Genomic DNA, 27443 nt, shown 5'->3' with positions numbered 1-27443 from the left:
CTGCAATACACTGGTTGTCCCTTTCCCAAAAGCGCTGATTATTTCAAACAGGCTCCTTTGCCCTGGACAGTTCAAGGAAACTCATTCTCTAAGTGATTGTTTCCTTCACATCGAATGAAACCTAAGACTATTCCAAATTGTATTTTCAAGAGGACTGGATATTCATATTGCAGCATCAAAAACAACACGCTGCTACTAAAATGCATTTTTGCAACAGGACATGGGGGCTTCTTCCTGCTCTCTGCAGAGTGACATGGGAGGTGACTCAGGGGACACTGGGGTTGTGCAGGGCCCCCAAACTACAATTAAGTTAACAATCATTTCTAACACATACTTCTCCCTTTGTGCGCTGTTTTGTGCACTTCACTATGTCTCCAATTTAATCCTCCTAAGAACCCTTGGAGGTGGGTAAGGTTATTACTCCCATTACACAGATGAGGAAACTGAGGCACAGGGAGTGACAGAGAGAGCCAGAGCTTCTGCTCGACTGTCTGATGCCAACGTGGGCAGGGGTCTGGCCTGTCAGAGGGACAGAGGAAGGGACAGATGAAGGGACAGAGGAAGGCCAGCATGCCGGGACAACGATCAGGGCCAGGCATGCAGGGAGGGTGTGAGGCTGGGTGGACCCACAGGGTAGACTGCAGTGAGGAGTCTAGATTTATTCTAAGAGCAATGGGCCCCACTGGTGGCTTTAAGCAATAGTGAAGTAAATGGTTCCTGGTTCCATGGCTGTGTGAGAATGAACTGTGGGGGAAGTGGGACCCTCAGAAGCCACATGGGAACCATCGGGTTGGAGTTACCCTGAGGCCTTCTGCCCACATCCCCAGGGGCCCAAGACCCTGTGGGTTCCCTATGACCAGAGCTCGAAACTTTTAGTCTAGAAGGCTCCCTCCACATGCATTTTACACTATCAAAGTTCACCTCAGCAAAGCGGGGGTGGGCTTAGGAATGACAAGGACGTGGTCAGGAGGAGTCTATGGACACAGGCACAAGGTCGCGGGCACTCGGCAGAGAAGGGGCCTGGAAGAGAGACCCCAGACCCAAATGCAGAGCAGATGCCAATGTCCTCAGAGTGACCTGCGGGAACCCCTGAAGCCCTTTTCCCACTGCCCCTCTGACCCCAACCCCTCTCCTCCCACCTGCCTGCTTGGTCACCCTGGCTTAGAGTCCCTCGGCCAGCTCAGGCCACCCCTGGACCTGCTCCCTCCCTGCCCCTCCCCGAAGGCCGCTTTCCCTGCCAAGTCCCGAGCGCTGACAGGAAAACTGCAGTTCCCTCCTCCCAGGTCCTTCCTCCTCTCCTGGTGTTACTTTCTCCACGGAGAGTAGAATCCCCTCCAGACTTGCTTTTCTTCGCTGTTGTGTCCTCCCTGGCAGATGTGGTCTCCAGGGTTCTCCTCTGCTTCATTCAGGCTGCATCCCCGGGGCCTGGCCCGCAGCCGGCGCTTAAGGACTGGATGAACGTGGGACCCCAGGCGGCCTGGAAGGAACTGTGGGGAGGGCACTGCCCTGCCCAGCAGTGGGATGTGCTCTCTCCACCAAAGGCTAAGCCACCAACAGAAACCTAAGGGTGGGAGGAGCAAGTGGTCCTCTGATGGAAGCAGAGATGGAAAGGATGGGCTGCCTTCATTTGTGAGGGGCCAGCCCTGAAGGAACTGTTTGTGGCAGCCAGGAAGCCTCTAGACTGTCATCAGAACCTTCTACCTAACAGACACTGGAGACTCAGCGGGGTGGTAGGGTGGAAGGGGCTGAGGGATGAGAAATTACTTAAAGGGTATAAGGACGGACTGATCACTGAAAACAGGACGTCTGGAAAATGCGGCTGATGTCCCAAGAGCTTCAAACTAAGACTCTTAATTGCTCTCACTTTCAAGGATTTGGGAGGCGTTTATAAAAGCAACAGAGAGTAGCTCTGAGCTCCTCTGCGGGGGTTGAGCAGCAACGAAATGAAGCTGGAATCAGTGCTGTTTCTCATTCTGCATCACAGGTGGAATTCAGGTGGTTACAGAAAGTACCCCACAGGGCACACACACGGTTTGGGCATTTCCCGGACCCGAATCTTAAACGTGCCTCAGCCCGCAGAAGCCTGCACCCTATCCATTGGAAACAGAAAGTATTAACAGAAGGTACCATGGAGGAGAAGCATGAAGACAAGAGAAGAATGATTCCAACTGGCCCAGAGTGTCAACCTTGGTCATAATCCATTGCCAAGTCTTAGAACTAAGGGTGAGGCAGCAACAGCAACCGAGACCTGTAGGATAGATCTCCCTGCAAAGATGGGCTGCTCTGGAATAAAGATGTTTGGGGTCCCCCATGACCCCCCAGTGACTCCACATGGGTGTGCTTGGTTCCAGCTGAAAAATCAGACATGGTTTCTTCTGTACCAAACATAGCCCTGGACCTCAGCCAAGAAGTGCTGCTGTCATCCTACAGGCACCCAGTGCCAAATCTCTCCACAGCTAAGTATGCTTTCACTTCCATGCCTGAAAAGCTGCAAGCACTCACAAGGTCTGCCTGGGGACAAGTGCCTCGGAGCCAGGGCCCGCCCTCAGGGCTGCATGGAATCTGACACCGGTTTCCTCCAAACTTCTTTAAATGTGGATGGTACTTCCTAAGGCCGATCTCCAGGTTCAGACACACTCTCAAGTCCTGAGTGTTGTGATTGGAACACTCAGGAAAGAAGTGAGCATGGGCCTGGAAGAGCGTGGTCCACACATTAATCCATAGAATGAGATGGTGGGAGGAGAAGCTGCAGGTCAGATTGGGGCAGGGTTCATAATCCAACAGCCAAATGTCTCTGCACTAGGAATCCTGAAAGCAGAGAACATTGGGGGTGCTAACTTCAAATTCTGGCATGGAACTGCTCATCAGCTGCGGGCCCTGGATGGGGCTTGGCTGCATCTCTCGCCAGGAGAATGGAGCCTTCCTCTTCCCCTAAGGCTGTTCTGAAGATTCAGTGGCAGACGGATGTTAGAATGCACCAGAAGGATTTGAAGATGTGACAGGGCTCGGTGTTCCAAAGGAAGGTCCTGGAGACGACTGGGGTGCTCTGTGTGGGGTGACAGAGGGGCTGTTTTAAGATTGCTGAGGCCTGGGGACACAGCTGCAAGACGGAAGGGCATGTGCTAAGTGTGGAGAGTTCATGCAGATGAGGACTGAGGAAAGGCCAACCACGTCGGGGGTCAGGAGGTGGGCTGCTGAGGGAGGTGGGTGGCCAGTGGGCTGGGCGCAGGTGGGCCTGGTGCAGGCAGCCTCAGCCCCAGGCTGAGTCAGCCCCACTGCAGCAGACTCTCCCCTGGGCTGGGCCTGCAGCTTTCCCAATGACTTGTGTTATCTGAGACCAAAACAGATGTCCCTTCAGCAACTAAGACAGACCCTATGGTTAAGGAAACAAAGTTACCTATGTGCTGGCATGGTAACTTCCTAAATTCCTGGGCTACAAAGAAAGCCACACTCTTGCTAAACTCCCTAACAATAGGTGCTATCAGACCCCTCTGATTTATAACCCAGACCACTGCAACTCTGATGGGACAGAGGACAGCCCTTACAAACACCCCTTTCTCATAAGCAACTGCAGACCTCAAGCCAGTTTCAGCAACTTATGGAGGCTGTGCACAGGCTGTCTTTGTGTCCTATAGTTCACCTGTTGATGGAAAGAGCCAAATTCCACCTCATTTTAATGCTGAAACCCCACCCTAAAGTGACATGAGATGTGTGTTACGTACATGTTTGCCCATTGCACATGCACTCAGCTCCCCTTATAAACATGCACAGCTTTCCCCCAAACCTGCTAAACATGTCTGATTCTACTATGTAACACAGACCCTGCGAGCCATAAAATCCAACTGCCCTTCCCCTTCTGCGAAGCGAGAGCACCTTCGTTCCATGTCAGAGACTATCTATTCCTGGCTTGCAAACTGATGTCACCAGTAAAGCTGTCCTTTCTACTATTTAGCCATCCTGGGGGCCTTCTGACAACACTCAAATGCTCACTGAAGTTTGCGAGCCACAGCCTAACTTACTCAAGCAGGAAAGGTAGAAGTGAAAGGGAAGACAAGAACATGGAAGCCCGGGGGACTGGAAGCTGAGTCAGGGCACCGTGATGGCCACGCTGAAGGGAGGGCAGGTGGACGTGGATGGCCCAAGATGCCCTGCGGAGGGTAGGTGTGAGAACTCTGTCTCCGTAGGATTGGGTGGGTGTGCGTGCTGAGACCAGCAGGGCCCAGAGAGGAGCTAAAGTTAGGTGTAAAAGTAACCCCGCCATTGACCTGCTCAGTGGAAAGTGCACTGTCCATATGAGTGACAGGAGAAGCAGAAAAACAGCTGGAGCCTAGGGGAGAAGCAGTCTGGACACAAGATTGGAGCTCAGTTACTTCCACCGGCTGCAGGCCAGACGCTCCAGCAGCCTGCTCCAGGGCCACCTGGGTGTTCAGCTGCCCCTAGGCTGACACACTTCCAGTCCTGAGTAGTCTCTTCAGGAGATGACTCACTTAAGCCTTCCATCGTCGCATCCAGACCAGGACAAGGCTCTGCACTCAGCAAGTGGTAGACCACTTGGTAGACCCGTGGAGGAAGCCCTCTTCCTGACACACAATTTCACAACTACTGCTTAAAGCCAACACAGGTAGTCCATTTTAGTTACCAAAACAGTCGGCAATCAGCAACGACTCCTGCTGGTCTACATGCATGCAGCTTCTTTCTGGCAAGGCTGAGTGCACTGGTGCTGAGGACCAGTGCGTGCCCTGCTGGGGCCTCCAAAGGCCCTGAATTAGTGTCTGGCTCTCCAGCATCGAGGTCTTGGGAGGAATCTAAAAAGTTTGATGTCTGCCTATGCAGGTGGTGGGGGGCACCTGGTGGGCAGGGATTGCCTGGCTAAGGTGGGCAGGGTGAGATCAAACCTCAGGAACTATGGCACAAGGCTCCATGTGCCCCTTCGCCAGGCCCTGACAACATTTAAGGTGGGCTGTGGCCCCAGTGATGACTGAGCCACTCAGGCTGCGGTCAGGGCTACTCACTGTCCCCACAGAAGCTCCCAGGGAGGCTGGCAGCGAGGACAAGGGGCTTCACAAAAACTTACTAAGCTGTCTTGCCACAGATATACAAGAACTGCTGCAAGCTTCCCAGCTTAGACCCATTTAGAGATGGTCAGTGGGGCATTCCCCATGCTTGATGAGCTCTGTAAAACACTGAACCACAACCCAATAACATTGCACAGGTGCACAGGGTAGCTAGCACCTGGGCCCCACCCTGTGCCAGGACCCAGAAGGGAAGCAACTGTGAGTTACAGGTCTGGCCTCAAAGGGGCTTAGGGAGACAAAACAATCACAGCAACAAGACTCCCAGCAGCAATGGAATGTAAGATATTCTATTATAAGATGTTAATTTCACGAAGACCTCAAAAAGACTTAAGAAGAGAGAAATCAGGGCGAGCCGGTACCTAGGCACCTACCTATTTTTGCTGGAGACAAACAAACCCAAACTACAATGAACACCCATGTATGTGTGGATCACGCCTTGGCAGTCAGATCCCGGCAAGAAAATGTACAGACCCCAACCATGAATGCGACTGGAGTCTCCCTCTTATGTAGTCTTGTCTCATTTCTTTACACTCATTTATTTCTTTATGTCGTTAATCCAATTGAAAGGTAAGGGAAACAGTGGGTTACTGGTGAAGGCAAGACCACTGCTTATTCTCCCTGATAGGTCTAAGAATTTGCCTCCTGGACCACTCTGTTCAGACATAGACACAACATCACACTCCAGGAGACACGCCATTGGGTGCTTCCTGGTCCCTGCCTTCTGGTCCTCGCTTCTGGCTTTCCTGCCCAGTGTTCTTGGCAATGACCGGGCTTCACCTGCAGGAGGGCTTTACAAAGTGTTCCTGGAGGCACAGTCCACACTGACACAGAAATGCAAGCAGGATTGGCATCCACACTAAGGCTGGGGGATCCCTTCCACAGGCTGTCGCTGCGGCAGGAGCTTGTAAAAACAGAGGATGACGAAAAGCAAGAAAAATAAAATGAAACTTCAAACAAAACTGCATCTTCCCCAGCGTTCCCTGGCAGACATCCCTGAGTATTTTTCCTTCATACTTTCACATCCCTTCTGATGTGGCATCATCAGGGTGTCCTGACTCTTAGAAGCAGCGGCCACATCTGTCAGCAGAAGTGTAGGGAACACCAGCAGTGAAACAAACATGCGAGGGGCTCGCCTGGAGAGTGGGACCACGGGACGGGCTTTGGCGTTTGGTTGTAACCCATCTCCATGGTAAACCATGACTTTAAAGGCGTTTTCCAGTTCCTCATCTAAGGAAAAGTCCTGGATTATTACTTTGGCACTGAAGCTGGAGAGATTGAGCCCTGGGGAACCTCTGACCCTTATTTCAAAATTCCTAAAGCATCACTGGCTAACATCTGCTTAGCCAAGGTGAAATGATGGGTAACATTTTTACCCTCCTGCTCCAGACACTGAAAACAAATCTGTGAAACAAGATTTGCAGATATGGGACAGCAGAACGCACAGGACAGCAATCACCAAGAGCGGCGGAGCCCATAACATGGGCTCTGTTACTGTCTCTGGGTTCTCTAGCCTCTCCCTGCATTGAGAAGACAGAGTTCTGGATCTGGGGAGCCACAGTGGCTACAGGATGCAGGCCAGAGTTCTGGAGAGGAGGGAGCTGTAGAGAGAGACAGTCCTGGAGATCTGCAGAAAGTCCCCTGGAGTCTTCAGCTGAGAGCTGATCAGGGCATTCATATGAGGGAACTATCCAGCACTGGGGAAAGAACTGCCCACAAGGAGAAGGCAGAGCAATCTCTGAGGTCACATAAAGCCAGGAATAGTTTTCATTTCCAACTTCCAGAGTGGAAGCCTCATAAGTCATGGGGCATGGAGTAGAGAAGGTTATAGCCTCAGCAGTAGAGAAATTAGCCCCACATGAAAGGCTTCCCTGGCCCTGCCTAACAAAGCCTCAAAGCGAGCCTCAAAAACACCAAACTGAGTCTAAGCAATTTAACAAAAATCAAAGCTCAAGAACATCTGCAGGAATGCCAAGATGTCCAATACCTCAAACAGTAAAATTCACAAAGTCAGTAACCAGCTGAAAATTACCAGGCATGCAAAGAAAAAGGAGGGTGCCTCAGAAGCATCACACAGCTCCATAAGCCCATGCAGCCTCTAGTTCATAGGCAAGATTAAGAGTCGGAGGTGTTCCAACCCCGTCTCAGGTGGGGGTGCATAAAGTCAACTGGGAGTTGAGAACTAGAGCCCCCATCCTTCCATCCCTCTCCCACTGCCTATGTGGTTCTTGGCATGCTGGGTTTCTCTTAGAGAAGCTGAGGGGGTCTTTGGAAGGAGGAGGGAAGGCAGAGACCAGGACTGTGAATATGAGCCAGCTCCCTGACCCAGAGTGCAAGCCGGTGGGTGAACCCACCCGGACCACAGGATCAGACAGGTCTGGAGGTGCTGCGGAGGAGAGAGGAGCCTCAGTTCAGCACCTGGGATACTTCCCTTGTGGCTCTCATGGGAAGTCACACCCTTCCCCTCTTCCTCCCTGAACACATCCCGCCTGGCCCAGGCAAGGGCCGAAAACCCACAAGACCAAGGTAAAATGGCAAATCCAACACGGCGGAGCTGCTCACTACTTTGAGGTAGTGCAGAACGCGGAGTGTGCACAATTAACAACAATGCCCGAGCTATCCGCTCCCAATGAGAGCTGTCGTTGTGCCTTTAAGTCACCACCAAACGTCTCAAGAGCATACTTAAGAGGCAGAGGTTCAAAATAATAGCCTCTCTTTGTAAAAGATAAAGTGACAAGGAGGCACCGGTGCTACAGGAGCAGGAGGAACTGAGCTTGATGTTGCTGCATCAACCAAGGCTTAGAACCCAGTGGTCTGATGAGGCACGCTATCATCATTGTGCTGAAGATAAGCACTCTCAAACGGGAAATGGCCATCAGCAGGAACTCCTGCTATTTTTCTGGGTATTATATTATTTCACTAAATAAAGATTTTCATGTTGGCTGCCATTATTTTTTCCAGGATCTATAAACAGCATTCCATCCACAATTTTCCCAAACACCACACCATATTAATTCAACAACCAACTAAGGCACAAGCATCCTGACAGCAGACAGAGGCTTGGGTCTGGCGTCACAGAGTCTGAATCTTCTGCCCCCTCCAGCTCTGCTTCTTCCCCGGATCCTAGGGTTATCCTACCACAGCCACTGACGCTATGGCCTTTTTCTGGGTTAGCAGACACTGGGATGACTAGGAGGCTCATCATCAGCAGCTGGGCCCCACCTCCACCTCTCATCTGTGACCCATTGCTCACCACGTGCTCCAGCATCTCCCCACACAGACCAACGCCCCGCTGGCCCACGGAGGTCCAGCACCCTCAGGCTTCACACTTCTTATTAGCCAAGTGGAGAGGAGTGTGCACCCATCACATGCCCCTGAAAAGCTGCTCAATTAGAAACAGACAATCAATGGGAAACGCCAAGAATAAACAGTTACAGCTCTGATTGAATTCTAGACCTCCCCCCAGGGAAAGGCACCTATTTTTTCAGCCCAAGCCAAATCCAAAGGCAGCAAAATAGCCCGGACTCTGAGCGGCTCTCTGTTCCTTCCTAAGCAGACCTGTCTGGGGTATGTGCTGGCTGCCGGGACAGGTGCTCCGCACCCCATCTCTGTCTGTCCTCACATTGCAGACTAGGGTCTATCTAGGCACAGGATGGTCACTGTTCACCATGGAAACTTAGGGGAACAAAGGAAGGGGTTCTTCCTCCCCGCCCTTTACTGTCAGAGATGCTGAGATGCTGGCTGTCTCTAAGGATCCTTGGGATGCCACCACATGCACGTGTGGGGTGAGGGCATGAGGGTCTACCTAGGTGACCACTCACGCACACACCAGCAACACAGGGAGCAGCCAATTTCTGAATATCCTATTGAGGATAAGTAAAGCACTATCTCTGGGGGGTCTTTTTCAGTTGGTTCCTTGAGATCTGGGTCTCCCCATTACTCTACCTGGACAACCGATGTTGTCAATGTGGAGGCAGAGCTTGACACTTGTGTCTACTGTCTTTCATCATTTTTTTGAACTATTTTTGGATCACGATCCTGGCCCCATGGAGAGGTTTTCCTCGCAGACGAGAATCACTGGCGTATTTGCTAACATGCCTTCTAAGTCTCCATGCAAGCCACCCACCCAGGCTCTGTGTGAGCAGCCAGAGGCAGCCTGTGTCCCGCCCCCAAGTCTCTCCAACCCGAGCTGATTCCTTTCCTGACAATGCTCCTTAAAGACAGCTTCCAAGAGGGCTGCCTCTCCTAAGCGTCCACACCCTGGACCTGTGTCCTGGTATTGTTGACATCATCCAACTGCAAACCTCACCCAGGCAGGAAACTGCCCTGCCTTCAAACCCATTCAGCTAACCAGGCCAAATGTGTTCAGTGCTCAGGAATGACACAGTGATCTTCAATCAACACAGCAATGGACCGAGGAGCAGCTTTCACTCCACAAACATTTACACCACCACCACCAGCACAGGACAGTGCTCTCTGCCTACCCCAGCCAGCCCAGCCTGTGTGTTCTTATCTTCTCTATGCCCCATGGCTAGCCCATGACGTCTGCCACTGCCCTTGTTTGAAGGGGGAAACTGAGGCTCAGGAAGGTAAAGGGGGTGACCACAGGCCATGCCCCCAATGTGCAGGTGATGTAGGACAAGCTGGGCCCAGCCAGGTCTGCTCTGAAGCCCGCATCGCCCTGAACTGCCCATGGGCTGCTCATGGTCCTGCCATCAGGGCCTATGAGGAATGGGCCCTGTTCTCAACAGCTGAGGGCTGGGCCGAGGCCTGACCCCAAGCAGGTCAACTTGGACCCTGTGCAGAAAGAGAGGGGGGCTGCAGGGGTGCTCAGCCCCGGCACTCATGCCACAGAGAGGGCAGAACTCTGGATGACGGAGTCCCTCGCCTGCCATCCTCCTGTGAGTTCACTCTGCCCTGGCCCACTGGGGAGGAGGAATTCCTCAGACTGGCTCATCCTCACTCCCCTTAGAACAAGCGCCTTCTGAAATTCTGAAAAACCTCAAGGGCTAAAGACCCAGAAGGAAGGCCCGGTGGAGTGTTTGGATTTAGTTCTTGTCCCATCCGCTAGACTAGAGTTCCAGAGGGTGAGAGGCCAGGCCCACTCCTCTCTGTGCCCGAGTGGACACTGGGGCAGGGTCAGCCTAGGCTCCTGGCAAGGGGCGCTGTCCAGCTGGCATCTGATGAACAGGTGTCAGGGAGACGTGCCCTGGGTCCTGGCGTGGGGACGGCCGCAGGAGAGTTTCTCACTTCCTTTTGCAAAACGATGGGCGAAAAGGACAAGGAGGCAGGTTCCAGGGCATGGGACGGTGGCTGGAGCCATGGGAAGAAGAGCTGGGCAGGGAGTGAGGTATCTCCGGTGAGCACAGCACAGATGGGGTCAGTGCCCAGGGGCAGCAAGCCCAGCTCATGGGTGAATGCCTGTGGCAGGTGGGTGCCAGGGGCTGTGGAGAGACGATTATTTCTATAGAACAGCAGAGGGAAATGTACGTATGTCCAGGGCGGGGTCCACCTCCTCTGAAAGCAGCTGAAGCAGTGCAAGGCCAGGCTGGCTCCAGGCCAGGTGTGTGCCCTTCAGCTCACTGTGCCACTGGCAGGCCCTGGTGGAGACACAACCACGGAGGGAGAGCACTGTGCAGGGCACACTCTCGTTTACTTTGTGAGGTCCACCGTGGGCTTAGCATCATGGCCTGAGCTGCGCTGATGGGAAGCTGAGGCCAGGTGAGGCCAGGCGAGGTGAGAGTCCCTCGGTGAACCCCATAGGGCAGCTGTGCGCTGGGTAGAACCCTGCCAGGTGCCTGCAGATCCCGGCTGGAGCGGCTGTGGAGGAGACCTTCATGCAATCCAAGCTTACGTGAGCATGAAAGAAGATATCCTCTTAGTGTGAGGTGACGGGTCTGCTACATTCCTTCTTGCACCAGGGGACAAGCATCACCGGGACTGTGCCGGCTGCCTGTGCAGTAGCCCAAGATGGAAGCTCCAGGCTCCCTCCTGGCAGGTGGGTCTGACTCTCTCAGGAACCCTGCAAACACCCAAGTTCCCACCTCAAATGCCTGTGCGGCCTCCCAGAGGGAAGCAGTTTGGGCCAAACCAGGACTTTCCGATCCACCAGGATCCATGTGGTGTGTGGCGTGCAAGCAGTCAGTACATAAAGAATGAAAAGTCCCAGGAAACACCTGTTCAGGCTGGTCTTCAGTGGCTGCTGAGAGTCCGGGAGCCTGTATCAGAGCTGAGGCTGCCAGGCTATGGGTGTGTGGCGTGGAGCCCAGTACTGCATGGGCAGCCATCTCAGAAAGGGGCAAGAGGGGCAGTGGGGCCCCCTGCCCAAGGATGCTTGGGAGGAGGTCTGTGTCTCTGAGCCTGAAGGACAGTCCAGGGCTTCCTATCCAGGTGGGTGGAAGGGACTGTGCCCAAGAGTGGAGGCAGAACCTGTGAGGGGGTGTGGGGGCAGGTGGGGCTATGGAGCCCTCCTCATGGCCCTGAGGGAGGAGGGCTTTAAGGTGGCTTTTCAGACCCACAGGCAGTCATGCTGCAGGAAGGCACAGATGCGGCTGACTCCCCAGTTTGTCTCTGAGTGTGCCTGTGGAACCAGGAAGAGATGACAGAGAGCCTGCTGGACTGGGTCTCGGGCCTGCACCTGCTTGCGGACTCCCAATGGTGCCTGACAGCTTCTTCCAGAGGAGGGGCTGAGGGGCCCAACGCAGCCTTCAGCCACCTCCGCTACTGTCAGCTGCCTTGGTAAGATCTTACCTGTCCTTTAAGATTTGCTCTTAGCTTTTGAAATTGCAGTTAGAAGTGTGTAAAGCTTAACTGGACACCATTTTACAGCAGCATAATCTGTGCAGCTCTCCCGAGATCAGGACACGAAACCTTTCTGCAGCCCAGAACCTCCTTACCTCTTCCAGTCAGAATCCCCAAGGTCACTACTGCTCTGACTTCTGTCACAACAGAGGAGTTCTGTCTGCTTTTGAACCTCCTAAAAAAACCCATACGGCATTTACTTTTATGTCTGGCTTCTTTCAAAAATTTCACTTGGAGATTTGCCTATGCCCTTAAAGCCATTACTCTTTTGTTCACATGCATGGTGGGAGAGCGTTCCATTGTATGGATATACTGCATTTTCCTCAGCCATCCCACTGTTGATGGACACTTGAGTGGTATGCTGTTTAGGGCCATTGTAATGAACTTTCCATGAACATTCATGTATATGTTGGGTATCCCAGTAAGATTCTGCCTGGAGAAAAAAGTTTGGCCAGCTAAAAATGTCCGAGAGCTCAGATTTCTGACTTCTGGACGACATTGTAAGTGGTATTCGCGCATTAAGTTCTTTGGTCTTAAGCACCAGGACAGAAAAGCTAAAGCAAATGTGCAAATACATGGAAACTTGCGAAGTGTTGAGGGCAGATGTGAATCTTACAGGAGAGTGTGTGTGTGTGAATTATCTGCCATTGCTGTGGGAGGGCCTCAGATGGCCTGGGCAGCACATTCAAACTAAATGTGCGAGAACCACTGGTCCCGAATATTTGAGGAAGAGGGGAGGAAATGAGAGATGAGGCTGCAAAATAGACTATGGACTAACTGCAAAGGGCTTTGAATGCTAAGCTAAAGCATTTGGACTTTATCCTGCAGGCAACGGGGAATTGACAGATGTTTTAAACAAACATCTTTAAGTATCTGCACACTGTGTGGTAGGTGTGGCAAAGCTGGCCGTGTCACCCGTGGGCTTTCGGTGCCAACTCTGAAGCCCTTAAGTGTGTCAGGCAGGGGGGACACATGGAGCCCAGCACTGAGCTGAGTAAACTGCAGTTCATTAGCCAGAGACAGTGGAGAGGCAGGATATGGTGTGAGAGCAGGAGAGTGAAGGGCTGGCTGAGTCTAGGGCCAAGAGGCCCGCGCTGAAACCTTGGTTCTGCCACTCCTCGGCTGTGGGACCTTGAGAATGCTACGTTACCTTTCTGCACCTCTGTTTGCTCATCTGTAAAGCAGGGCCATTCATGGTTTTCATATGCCAGTGTTGCTGAGAAGATTAAATGAGCAGGTACTTCCAAGTGTCTGGCACACAACAAGCACTCAGTAAGCATTCACTGAAGCCACTCTTATGGGATGACGCTGGTGGTTACAGCATGAAAGCATGTGGTCAGCTCACCAATGTGCACATGTGGCCTTGCACTGACAAATGGCAGACACACACGCCATAGGCAAATACTCCTACATACACACACAGCCCCAGGCTAGCAGGTGTTTTAAAGACACACGTGTTAAGATGCTTTCTGCACAGCAGCTACCCTAAACGTACTCACTAGAAACCTGGTGCTTTAGTTACAGAAAAGGGAAAGGAAATTAGTAGGTCTGGAATTAGCCTCAAAACACCTTTGCTGTGGTGCCTCTCAGGCAGAAGAGTTGCCCAATAACCCTGAGTCCAAGGAGGACTTTGCAGATGGCCAGCAACGGTTCCTTCCAATCCGTGTGCAGTGGGAAGGGAAAATGCTGCCTTGGGACGGGTTCTTCCCCTCTGGTGCTCATGAGAAAAGAGCAGCAGCACTTGGGGGAGTTGGAGAAGCATGGGTGCCAGGCGCAGGGGTCCCTTGAGAAAACGGGGAAGGTGCACAAGGGGGCCCTGCTGCCACTGCCCACGTGGTGAGATGACTTGCAGCCAGGCCTGGGACCAGCCACTCAAAACTGGCCAAGGCAGTGCTCACAGCACTGACCCCATGAGGTGAATCAAAGCCCACACATAGCAGCTCTCTGGCCAGAGGCTATTGTGGAGGATCCTCTTTCTCTCTTAGAAAAGGGGCTTGAAGGTCAGGTGACCCCACTGTAGTGAAACAAGGGTGGGCAAGAAGGAGCCAAGTGTGGGAGGGCGGCACGGTCTTACCTCCACGTACAGGAGCGGGAAGATCCCGATCTTGTCTCCCAGCATGCCTTCCGCCCAGTTCTCATCCACTCTCCTGAGCACCGTCAGAATCTCGTCCTGCAGTTCCGGGTCCACCGTGGACACAAGCATACGGACACACACACAATGAAAAAGGAAGCAAGACACTGGTTAGTACTGTGGAGGCTCGGAAGAGATTCCAAGGAATGAGTTCAAGAAGAGTGCATTATCCATTCAGGTATCTGACATCTTCACCCAGGAGCACCCTCTCTTTCTTTCTTTTTGTTTGGAGGGAGGGGCGGAGTCTCGCTCTGCCACCCAGGCTGGAGTGCAGTGGCGCAATCTCCGCTCACTGCAGCCTCCGCCTCCGGGGTTCAAGCGATTCTCCTGCCTCAGCCTTCCAAGTAGCTGGGATTACAGGCGTGTGCCACCACACCCAGCTAATTTTTGTATTTTTTGGTAGAGATGGTGTCTTGCCATGTTGCCCAGGCTGGTTTTGAACTCCTGAGCTCAGGCAATCTGCCCGCCTTGGCCTCCTAAAGTGCTGGGATTACAGGTGTGAGCCACCGAACCCAGCCAGCACCCTCTCTGACACTATTGATTATAGCTGCAAAGAGCCCCATATGGGAAAGCCTGGCAATGTACCACAGAGTTAGGGCTTTAAAATGCAACTCCTATTATTTATTTAATGAAATAAAAATATTTGGAATAAAAATAAATTCAGCTAAGTAGAAAAGGCTTTAAGATTCTGGCTTCATCCAAGAACAAAAAAATAACTCAGTCCAACTACATTTATTTAGAGTCATGGGCACATAAAGCTTTCAGTAACCCTCTTCAATTCTTTGGAATATTAAACAATACCAAGTATAAATGCACAAAGTGGAAACAGATGGAAGGAGAAAGGAAGAGGCAGGCAGCAAGGAGGAAAGGCGGGCTTTCGGGGGGGTTGAGACTGGGAGATGAGCAGTCATCGAGGAAGGAAATAGGACACTGTCACAGGTACCAAGAGACACAGAGACGAATGGCAGGGCGGGTGAGAAAGAGGAAAAGGACGGAGGAGAGATGGGGACTCACAGTGGGACGTGACCAGAGAGGAGCCCTGGGGGAAGGAGAAAACAGCTGTAACAAGTGTCAAGAGAGACAGATGGCCGGGCGCGGTGGCTCATGCCTGTAATCACAGCACTTTGGGAGGTCGAGGCGGGTGATCACCTGAGATCAGGAGTTTGAGACCAGCCTGACCAATATGGTGAAACTCAGTCTCTACTAAAAAGACAAAAATAAGCCGGGCATGGTGGCAGGCACCTGTAGTCCCAGCTACTTGGGAGTCTGAGGCAGGAGAATCGCTTGAACCCGGGAGGCAGAGGTTGCAGTGAGCCGAGATCGTACCTCTGCACTCCAGCCAGGGTGACAGAGTGAGACTCCATATTAAAAAAAAAAAAGAAAAAGAGAGAGAGAGACAGAGACAGAGACAGAGACAGAGACAGAGACAGAGACCACCACAGCAATGGCCTGGGCAAGACGGGTGCCACTCCAAGGGGCCTTTGGCGAACCTCTGTTCCCTTCTCCGGAACCATCCCTCCTTCGGCAGTCAGGTGCATCATGGAACGCCCCAAGGCCTGTCAGCCTAAACTGCCCCCGTTATTTGTTCTCTGCTAGACCAGCTGGCCCATGTGTGACTTGAACAGGCTAAGGAGGAGATGGCCAAGAGATGGCCTCATGGAGAAGCCCCTCAGAGCTGAGTGCACCACCCGCCTTTCCAAGGAGCCTCTGATGCTGTAACACAAAGCAGCAATTCGGGACTTACAGGCCTCTTTTGGGGTCAGAGGGAGAGATGTTTTAGGCTGGTGGGGTCTAAGAAATCATCAGAGAAACTGCTTCACCGGGAGCGGAGGGGGCCGTAGGGTTTGGTGTCCATCCGAGTTGAGGCAGCATTGATCTAACAGAGCTGGACAGCCCATGTGGGATCACACAGAAGGAGGGCAGGCTGGGCTCTGTGCTGGGAAGCTCCTCCCATGCCTCTTCCAAACCGCCCTCTCCCAGGAGAACAAGTAGAGCGTGGGGGCCACCAGAGGCAATCACACCCCTCACTTTCCCCATCCTCTCCCCCAACCCCCAGCTTCAAAAACACCCAAACCAAAAAGATTTATGACTTTACAATGCCACTTTTTCCAACTGACATTATAGGCCAGAAAAACGTAAAGAGCATTCTAAGAGCATCATATCACTTCACACAGCCCAAAAGTCAGCCTCAGGTCTGGGGGCATTTAGCAGAGCGTCCCTCCAGCAACGCTCAGCGTTGAGTGTGTGGGGCTTTTCTTTCTTTTCTTTTTCTTTTTTTAGACGGAGTCTTGTGCTGTCGCCAGACTGGAGTGCAATGGCCCAATCTCAGCTCACTGCAACCTCCACCTCCTGGGTTCAAGTGATTCCCCCTGCCTCAGCCTCTAGAGTAGCTGGGACTACAGGTGCTCACCACCACTCCCGGCTAATTTTTTTTTTTTTTTTTAAGAAGAGACGGGGTTTCACCATGTTGGCCAGGATGGTCTCGATCCCCTGACCTCGTGATCTGCCCACCTCGGCCTCCCAAAGTGCTGGGATTATAGGCGTGAGCCACCATGCCCGGCCAAGTGTGGGAGGGCTTTTCTAAACACCACGAGGACACTAGAGTGGGGCCCTGGCTTGGGGGAGGCGCCCACAGAATGCTCCGGAAATCTGTGCCTGACTTGCCTCTCAAGCTCACCACCAGCAGAGGCCCAAGGCATGATTGGCCCAGCTCAGATCAGCCTAAGGGCCTAAGGCTTCGCTGTCACATAAAGGGAGAGATAACCAAAGGCTTCCCACACATCAGAGCTGTCACAACAGCAAAATATCACAAGATAGAAATTTAATTTTATAAAAATTAAAAACAAAAAGAAGAAAATGCCAGATTAATTTTGTTTCTTTCGTTCTTTCTTTTTCTTTTTCTTTTTTTTTTTTTTTAAAGAAAATACCATGATATCCACACTGGTATCTAACATTGGTCTAGAAATTAGAGCCAAATAAATAGAAAAATAAGACAAGAAGTATAAATATTAGAAAGAAAGGTATATAATTTTCTACCTAGAAAAATTAGAAGCAAGTGAATATTAGAATAAGAATTTGAGGAAGGTTGCCAATTTTAGGATAAATACATAAAAATCATTGGCTTTCTCATATACCAGCAATAATCAGTTAGAAAATGTTACTAAAATTGGCCAATCATTAAAAAAATAAAATTAGTTCTCTAATCCACTGTATATGCCAAAATTCATTCCATAAGGATTAAACTTGAATGTCCAAGAAGAAAATATGAATAGATGTTTAATCTTGAACTGGGGAATGTATTTCAAGGTATGATAACAAAGATTTGGCTACAGCAAAACTAAATACTCAATGTTAAAAATAACAGAAACAAAACAAAAAGGCAAATAAACAGAAAAATACTTGCAGGATACATGAGAGACAAAGGCTTAATGTCTTTACTGTATAAAGACTTAAAAAAACAGTGGAAAGGCAGACAAATACCTTAAGAGAAAAATAGGCCAAGGCCAAAAATCAGGGAACTCATGAAAGAAGAAAAACAAATTTCCATTAAACATATTTTAAAATGGCATACCTGGCTAATATTCAAACAAACACAGTTTTAAACAGGAAGATTCCCCTTTTGTTCCTTTGCCTGTCAAATTAGCAATGAGAAACATAAACCCAACTCACAGTGGTGGCCAGTATGCATGGAACAGGCACTTTCCCATTTTTGGTGGGGATATAAATGTAGGGCAGGCAGTTCGGTGATTCCTATCAAATATCAAAGCCTTGGAAGCCTGTGCACCCTCTGAGCTACAAATAGCCACTCCTAGGAACTCTATTCTAAGAAAAATCAAGTGTGCAGAAAGATTTGTTACTGAAGACATTCATTACAGTGTTTGTTAAACTAGAGAAAAACTAGAGACAAATGCAAAGCAAAAGGGGACTGGTTAAATAAATTACAGTATTGTGCATTCAATGGAATACACTCAGTCATTAAAAATGATACAGGAGAGAAATAATGGAAATTAAAAGAGAAATGTTAATATTAAATTCAAAAAACAGGCCAGGCACAGTGGCTCATGCCTGTAATCCCAGCACTTTGGGAGGCCGAGGTCGGTGGATCACCTGAGGTCAGGAGTTCAAGACTAGCCTGGCCGACATGGTGAAACCCCGTTTCTATTAAAAATACAACAACTAGCCAGGCATGAGGCCGTGTGCCTGTAGTCCCAGCTACTTGTGAGGCTGAGGCAGGAGAATTGCTTGAACCCAGGAGGCAGAGGTTGCAGTAAGCTGAGATTGTACCACTGCACTCCAGCCTGGGTGGCAAGAGCAAGACTCCATCTAAAAATAAAAATAAAAAGTAAAAAATTCAGAAAACAAGACGGGCACAGTGGCTCACACCTGTAATCCCAGTTCTTTGGTAGGCCGAAGTAGGCAGATCACTTGAGGCCAGGAGTTCGAGACCAGTCTGGCCAACATGGCAAAACCCTGTCTCTACTAAAAAAAAAAAAAAAAAAAAAAAATTACCAGGGCACAGTGGCATATGCCTGTAATCCTAGCTGCTCTGGAGGGTGAGGCACGAGAATCTCTTGAACCAGGAGGTGAAAGTTGCAGTGAACCAAGATCATGCCACTCCACTCCAGCCTGGGCGAGAATGAGACTCTGTCCCAAAAAATAAAATAAAATAAATTCAAAAAACGAATCCCAGTCCTGATCGCTGGTATTTCAGCTTACCTTCCACAAAGCAATCATTAATAAGTTTCTTTTTGTTTATTTATTTATTTGTTTTTGAGACGAGGTCTTGCTCTGTTGCCCAGGCTGGAGTGCAGTGGCACAATCACAGCTCACTGCAGCTTTGACTTTCCAGGCGCAAGTGGTCCTCCCTCCTCAGCCTCCTGAGTAGCTGGGACCACAGGCGTGTGCCACCACACGCAGCTAATTTTGTTGATTATTATTTGTAGAGACAAGGTCTCACTATGCTGCCCAGGCTGGTCTCAAACTCCTGGGCTCAAGTGATCCTTCCACCTCAGCCTCCTAAAGTGCTGGGATTACAGGCATGAACCACCATGCCCAGCCATAAAGCTTCTTATATAGCCTTAGAGAAGTACAGAGATATTCTCCTCAAGTATGTATATATGTATACGTGCATAAACGTATATATGCACACATACATTCATGCCTTTTAGAAAGATATAAATGGTAGTGAACTCACCACACTTTTCTGTATCTTGCTTTTTTCCACTTAATTTAGTCTAAAGATCATTTAGTGACAGTACATATAGATCTTCCTCACTAACTACACAGAGACATTCCATTATATGAATTTACTGTAATTTACTTAGTGGACTTGATAGTTATTTTTAAACGAAAAAAGCAAAGTAAGATACAAACCCATTTGCATGGTGCCCATAAAGTGGAATGTCATCATTAATTTTACTATTTTTGCTTAAGAAAGTTTAAATATATATATACCTAGAAAAAGTTTGAAAATATATATGCCAAAATTTAAAGAATGGATAACTCTAGGAGATAGAAGAGGTGGAACACTTTTATATTTATTTTTTCTTTCCTATTTTTCAAATAATCTCAGTGAATACCAAGTATTTAATAGTTTCATAACAGAATTGTCTTATATGCCAGAAAACAAATTCAGGAAGAAAGCAAGCAGCATGTAATTTTCTTGTGCTTCTAAATGACATGTATATTTCCACTCTGAAATTTTTTTAAATGTTGAAAAACCAAATATCAAAAATATACTTTTCTTTTGTAAAGAAAGTTGATTTCCAGGCAATTTAACAGTGAAAGGGATGGATACCTGCGATGGCAGGATCATAGTTCACAAGTACAGTCGACAGCCGGGACCACAGATACATGCAAATTGTACATTTCTCCATTTAGGCAAAAAAACTAAATAACATAAATGTTCCTTGATAAGAAGATCAATGAAATAAAACAGTGTCTGTGGCTTTTAGTTAAATACAACCGCCACAGTAACTATCATTAGGAGTTGGTTGTTAAAGGTGTATTAGCACACACACCATTCAATAGCTAACAGGGGGGTGTCCGGCTCCCAGTCTAGAACGTAAGAAGCTGAAAGTCACCACTCCATCTTAACAATGAGTAAAAAAGCTGAACAAACTGAAAAAGCAACTCCTCTTCTTAGATCTGTAAGAGAACTGAGGTCACAGGGCAAACTGCTGCCCCCCAAATTGAAGAGATCAATAGGGAAATACCAGAAATCCCCAAGCAGCAGCCTCCGTGGGAAGCAGTGCTCGGCTAGGAGGGCCTGAACTGTAACTGATGTGTGCTGGAGGTTCAGTGTGGACAGCCTGAGAGGTAAGAACTGCAGGGGCCCAGTCACTGGGGGGCCCACACCTTTGTGAATTGTGCCTCAAGGAGCAGCTCCACTAAGTCTTCATAGTGAATATCAGAGAAAAATCCACTCGTGCTTCTGGCAGGGGGAGGGGAAGAGGAACCACTGTGAAACATGCCAGAGCATTCTGTGCTTAATAAGATCCACATACAGGATAAACTAGTTAACCACAGCCTCACCCATTGGGATGTTTTGTTTGTTTGTTTGTTTGTTTGTTTTATATGTGTGTGTGTGTCTGTGTTTCTTTTTGAGACAGAGTCTCACGATCCTTCTGCCTCAGTCTCCTAAGTAGCTGGGATTACAAGCGTGTGCCACTACACCCAGTTAATTTTTGCATTTTTAGTAGAGACAAGGTTTCACCATGTTGGCCAGGCTGGTCTCGAACTCCTGACCTCAAGTAATCTGCCTGCACTGGCCTCCCAAAGTGCTGAGAGTACAGGGGTGAGCCACCACATCTGGCCCCCATTGGGGTTTTATGAGAGCCTTACCTACTGGGGGCAAGGGAAATACCAAACTTCAACCCACTGTAGCCATCCTGTTTCACCTACAGAGGAGTGGGGGAAACTGAGAAGCACTGGGGAAGTTCACAGGCCAGGGGCACAAGCTTGCTGAAAGACTGAGACCTGATCCCAGGACTATAGAACATTTGTGGCCGCATGGCCCCCACAGCACCAAAGGCCTATTTACAGCAGTTCTTTTTACCCAGTCCACCATGTCTGGTATCAAGAAAATATCACAGTACATACTGAAAGGCAAAAAACCCCACAGTTTGAAGAGACAGAGCAAGCATCAGAACCAGATTGAGATGTGGCAACTAATGTTAGACTTAAAAGATCACGGATACAAAACAACTATGATTCACATACTAAGGGCTTTAATGTTTGAACTAGACAGCATGTAAGAACAGATGGGTGATGTAAGCAAAGATAAAGAGCCAGAAAAGAAATGTTAGCAATCAAAAACCCTGTAGCAGAAATGAAGAATGCCTTCGACGTGCTTATTAGGAGACTGGACACAGTTGAGGAAAGACTCTCTGAGCTTGAGGATATCTCAATAGAAACCTCCACCATGGAAAAGCAAACAGAAAAAAAAAATTAGAAAAAAAAAAAACCATAATGGAGCATCCAAGAACTGCAGGACAACTTCAAAGCAAGAATTGTGGGGCAATTATACATATGTAATGGGAATACTAGAAGGAGAAGAAAGATAGAAAGGAACAGAAGGAATATTTGAAACAATAATAACTGAGAATTTCTCCAAATTATTGTCAGACACCAAACCACAGATCCAGGAAGCTCAGAGAACAACAAGCAGGATAGATGCCAGAAAAATGACACCTTGGTATAGCACTTTCAAACTACATAAAATAAAAGATAAAGAAAAAATCCTGAAAGAAGTCAGAGGGGAAAAAACACATTACCTATAAAGGAGCAAAGGAAAAGAGTTACATTTGAATTTTCAAAAGAAAATGCAAGCAAGAGAGTGGAGTAAAATATTTAAGGTGTTGACAGAAAAAACCTACCAACCTAGAATTCTGTACCTGTGAAATTATCCTTCAAAAGTGAAGCATGAATAAAGATTTGTCAAACAAACAAGAATTGAGTGAATGTGTTGCCAGTAGATGTGCCTTGCAAGAACTGTTTTTAAAGAGTTCTTTGGAGAGAAGAAAAATAATATAGGTCAGAAATTCAGATCTACAGAAAGAAAGGCAACGCACCAGAGAAGGAATGGCAGTAAACTTAAAACTTTTATTTTTGCTATTCTTAATTGATTTAACAAATAACTGTTTAAAATAAAAACAATGTATTTGATCATTTTATGCTTATGTGTGTGTGTTTACATACACTTACAATGCTCATGTACAAGAGAAATGAATCACACCAATGATACAAGGAACAGGAGGGAGAAATAAGTATTATTTTGTTATTACAAGTACTCATACTGCTTGCAAAGCAGCACAGTTATTTGAAAGTGGGCTTGAATTCATTGTAAATGAATATTGCAGACTCCAATGCAACCAATTAAAAAAGTAAAAAAAGAGGTACAACTGATATGCTAATAAAGGAGAGAAAATAGAAAATAAAAAATGCTCAATAAAAACCACAAAAGACCGAAAAAGAGTGAAAGACAGGAAAAATAACAAAAAACAAGGGCAACAAATATAATAAAATAATGCAAATATGGTAGAATTTAACCTGACTCTATCACACATCACTTTGAAAATTAATGATGTAAATATACAAATTAAAAATTTTAAGTTGATAAAATAAAACAAGATACAACTATATGTTGTTTACAAGAAATCTACTTTAAATATACACACACAAGCAGATTAACAGCAAATCAATGAAGAAAGAGATAACATGCTAACACTAATCAAAAGATATCCATATTAATTTCAGACAAAACAGACTTCAGAGTGAGAAAAGTTATCAGAATAAATAGGGGCATTACATAATGACGAAGGGGTCAATTCCCCAAGAAGACATAATAATCCTTATCATTACACGCACCTAACAACAGTGTCAAAATACATGATGCAAAAAACTGACAGAAGGAGAAGTAGATGAATCCAGTATTACAGCTGGAGACTTTAACACCCCTGAATCAGAAATGGACAGAGACAGCAAGCAGAAAATCAGTAAGGATATAACTGAACTTAATAGCACTTAATGGCACCATCAATCTACTGGATACAACTGACATCCACATAATATCTCAACCAACAACAGCAGATTACACATTCTTTTCAAGCCCACAGGGAACATTCACCAGGACAGACCATATTCTGGTCTGCAAAACACACCTTAACAAATTTAAACAAATAAAAATCATACAATGTCTACTCTCAGGCCACAATAGCATTAAATTAGACATCCATAATAGAAAGATAGCTGGAAATCCCAAAATACTTGGAGATTTAACAACATACTTCCAAGTAACACTTGGGTCTTAGAAAAACTCTCAAGAGAAATTTAAAAAATATTTTGAACTAAATAAAAATGAAGATGTAATTTACCAACATTTGTGAGATGCCGCAAAAGTAGCACCTACAGGGAAATTTATAGCACTGAATGCATCGATTAGAAAAGAAGGAAGATCTAAAATAAATAATCTAAATCTTCACTTTAGGACACTAGGAAAAAAAGAGCAAATTAAATGCAAATAATAAATAAAATAAAAGAAATAGAAGAAATCAATGAAATTGAAAACAATAGAGAAAAATCAATGAAACAAAAAAGATCAATAAATTAATCTTTAAAAAGATCAATAAAAATCATATGCTTCTAGCAAGCAAACTAAGAAAAACAGAGGACACAAAGTACTAATATCAGGAATAAAAGAGGGGGCATCCCTGTATGTCCCATGGATGTTAAAAAAATAAAAGAATATTATGAATAATGCTATGTCCACAAATTTGATAACCCAGATGAAATGGAACAATTCCTTAAAAGACAATCTGCTAAAACTCATACAAGAAGAAATATATAATTCAATAGGCCTTTATCTATTAAAGAAACTGAATAACACTTTGGGAGGCTGAGGTGGGCAGATTATTTGAAGTCAGGAGTTCAAGACCAGCCTGACCAACATGGTGAAACCCCATCTCTACTAAAAATACAAAAAAATTAGCCGGGCATGGTGGCGTATGCCTGTAGTCCCAGCTACTTGGGAGGCTGAGGCAGGAGAATTGCTTGGACCAGGGAGGCGGAGGTTGCAATGAGCCAAGATCGCGCCACTGCACTCCAGCCTGGGTGACAGAGCGAGACTCCATTTTAAAAAAAGAAACTGAATAAACAACTAATAAACTTTCAAAACAGAAAGAACCAGGACCAGATAGGTTCACTAGTGAATTCTACCAAACATATAAATGAAGAAATTATACCAATTCTCTACAATCTCAATACTTCGCAGAAAGAATATTTCCTAACTTCTATGAGGTTAACGTTACCCTAATACCAAAGCAGACAAAGCCATTGCAAGAAAATTACAGACCTATATATCTCATGAACATAAACGCAAATATCCTCAACAAAATATTAGAAAATTTAATCCAACAAGGTATAAAAAGAATTATATACCACAGCCAAGTGGAATTTATCCCAGGTATGCAAGGCTGGCTCAACATCTAAAAATCAATAAATGTAACCTATCATATCCACAGGCTAAAGAAGAAAAATCACATGCTCATATCAGTAAATACAGAAAAAGCTTTTAACAAAATCCAATACCCATTCATGATAAAAACTCTCAGTAAACTACAAATAGAGGGGAACTTCTTCAACTTGATAAAGAACATCTACAAATAACCTACAGTTCACCTAATTACGAGAAACTTAATGGTGGGAAACTTTAAACTTTCCCACTAAGATCAAGGACAAGGCAAGAATGTACTCTCTGCCCCTGCTTTTTAACATCATACTAAAAATATTTGATAATACAATAAGACAAGAAAAGGAAATTAAAAGTGTACAGATTGGGAGGGAAGAAATAAAACTGCCTTTGTTTACAGATGACATGATCATCTATTTAGAAAATCTGAAAGAACCAACTGAAGAACTTCTAGAACTAATACTTGATTATAGCAAGGTTGCAGGATACAAGGCTAATATACAAAAGTCAATTGCTTTCCTATATACAGGCTGAGTATCTTTTATTTGAAATGCTTGAGACCAAAAGTGTTTTGGACTTCAGATGTTTTCAGATTTTGGAATATTTGCATATACATAATGAGATATCTTGGGTATGGGACCCCAGTCTAAACACAAAATTCATTTGTGTTTTATATATACCTTATACACACAACCTGAAGGTAATTTTATACAACATTTTAATAATTTTGTGCATGAAACAAAGTTTGTGTACATCGAGCCTACAAAAAGCAAAGGGTATCACCCATGCGGACCATCTGTGGTTGTTTGGCATCAGCCTCACTTCTGACTCTGGATTTATATGCTACCAATAAGCAATCATTTTCTTACAATTATTCACACATAAGTATTTAGCAGTAAAAAATATGACATATTATTAATACAGTGAAAAAAATTACATGTTCAGAGTAACTAAGCGGCACAGTAGCCTCTCCAGAATACCTGTATCAGCTGTTAAACAACAGCAACAACAAACAATGGCAGGCTTTCAGTCTCTACCTATGATGCTGTGCTTTGATTAAAAGGTAAGTGTATACTTTTTTTTTTTTTTTTTTGGTGCAAGGAAACATCAGAAGTGGTTAAGGGACCAGTAAGTGGGTCCTCTGTGGATGAGGAAACATTCTGCTGGATGGCTTTTAAAAATATTTTTCTGCAGTCATCTGCCTCATCAACAATGGTCATAGAAATCTCTCTTTTCACGTGGAGAACCTGCCATTGGCATGTGCAGCCTACACATGTGCCATTTTATGACCCTTTATGGTTGTGCTTGCATGGGGGAATCTGGGCATGTGTGGAAAATAAATATCACAGCTGAAGGGGCCTGGGAGGGTCTTTTTTCCCTTGAGGATGCTGAAGAAACTGTGTGTTGTGTGCCTTCATTTTGACTACAACCCATTACATAAGGTCAGGTGTGGAATATTCCACTTGCAGCATCATGTTGGTGCTCAAAAAATTTTGGATTTTGGAGCATTCTGGATTTCAAGTTTCCAGATTAGTGATGCTCAACCTGTACCAGGAATGGACAAATGAAATTTAAGTTAAAACATGATACAATTTACATTAGGTATAAATGTAAATGGTATCATGAAATACTTAGGTACAAATGAAATACTTAAGTATAAGTGTAACAAAATATGTGCAAGATGTATATAGGGAAAATTAAAAATCTCAGATGAAAGAAATCAAAGGAGAACTAAACAAATAGATATTTCATGTTCATGGATAGGAAGACTCAATATTGTCAAGATGTCAGTTCTTTTCAACTTGTTGTATAGATTTAACACAATCTCAATCAAAGTATCAGCAAGTTCTTTTGTGAATATTGACCAACTGATTCTAAAGTTTATATGGAGAGGCAAGAGACCTAGAAGAGCCAACAAATATTGAAGGAGAAGAACAAGGGCCAACACTACATGACTTCGAGACTGAAAATAAAGTTACAATAATGAAGACAGTCTGTCATTGGCAATGCAATAGACAACTAGATCAATGGAATGGAAGAGAGCACCCAGAAATAAACCCACATAAATACAGTCAGCTGATCTTTGACAAAGGAACAAAGACAATACAATGGAGAAAAGATAGTTTTTAAAATAAACAGTGGTAGGAAAACTAGACATCCACATGCAAAAAATCTAGAAATAAACATTCCACCCCTCACAAAAATGAACTCAATATAGATCACAGACCTAAATGTAAAATATAAAACTACAAAACTCCTAGAAGATAATGTAGGAGAAAATCTAGATGATCTTGGGTTTGGCAATGACTTTTTGGATATAGCACCAAAAGCATGATCCACAAAAGAAAGAATTGATAAGTTAGACTTCATTAAAATTAGTAATTTGTACTCTGCAAAAGATACTGTCAAGGTAATGAGAAGACACGCTACAGACTGGGAGAAAATATTATCAAAAGACAACTATGATAAAGGATTATTATGCAAAATACACAAAAAACTCTTAAAACTCAACAACAAGAAAACAGTCTGATTGAATGGTGAGTCAAAGACCTTCACCAAAGAAGACACTTCACCAAAGAAGACAGTGTAGTGTGTAGTGTGTTGATGAGGATGTGGAGCAACAGGAACGCTCATTCACGGCTGGCAGAAATGCAAAATGGCCCAGCAACTTTGGAACACAGTTTGGAAATTTCTTACAAAACTAGGCATGCTTTTACCATGCAAACTAGTAATCACACTCCTTAGTATTTATCCAAAGGAGCTGAAAGCTTATGTCCACACAAAAACCTGCATATGGATGTTTAGAGTGGCTTTATTTATAATTACCCAAACATGGAAGTAACCAAGATGTCGTTTAGTAGGTGAATGGATAAACAAACTGTGGTACATCCAGATAATGGCATATTACTCAATGATAAAAAAGGAAATGAGCTATTAAGCTATGAAAAGACATGGAAGGACCTTAAATGCA

General features: G+C 46.2%; 2 protein-coding genes across 4 annotated transcripts in view; both read right to left on the bottom strand.

Annotated features, from left to right (window-relative positions):
- Positions 1-27443, bottom strand: part of RANBP2 (RAN binding protein 2) — a 1122820-nt gene that overhangs the window by 456673 nt on the left and 638704 nt on the right. The gene's annotated exons all lie outside the window — the stretch shown is intronic.
- The window catches only part of SH3RF3 (SH3 domain containing ring finger 3), a 375430-nt gene that overhangs the window by 119006 nt on the left and 228981 nt on the right, over positions 1-27443 (bottom strand). For all 3 annotated transcript variants that reach the window (NM_001099289.3, XM_011511109.3, XM_047444144.1), the window contains exon 3: positions 13948-14043. In NM_001099289.3, coding sequence (NP_001092759.1) covers positions 13948-14043 — 96 coding nt within the window. The remainder of the gene's footprint in view (positions 1-13947; positions 14044-27443) is intronic.

The sequence above is a fragment of the Homo sapiens genome, chromosome 2 (assembly GCF_000001405.40).
Source record: "Homo sapiens chromosome 2, GRCh38.p14 Primary Assembly".
Classification (NCBI taxonomy): Eukaryota; Metazoa; Chordata; class Mammalia; order Primates; family Hominidae; genus Homo; species Homo sapiens.
The sequence above is the reverse complement of the archived record's forward strand: the minus strand, read 5'-3'. Positions and strand labels throughout refer to the sequence as shown.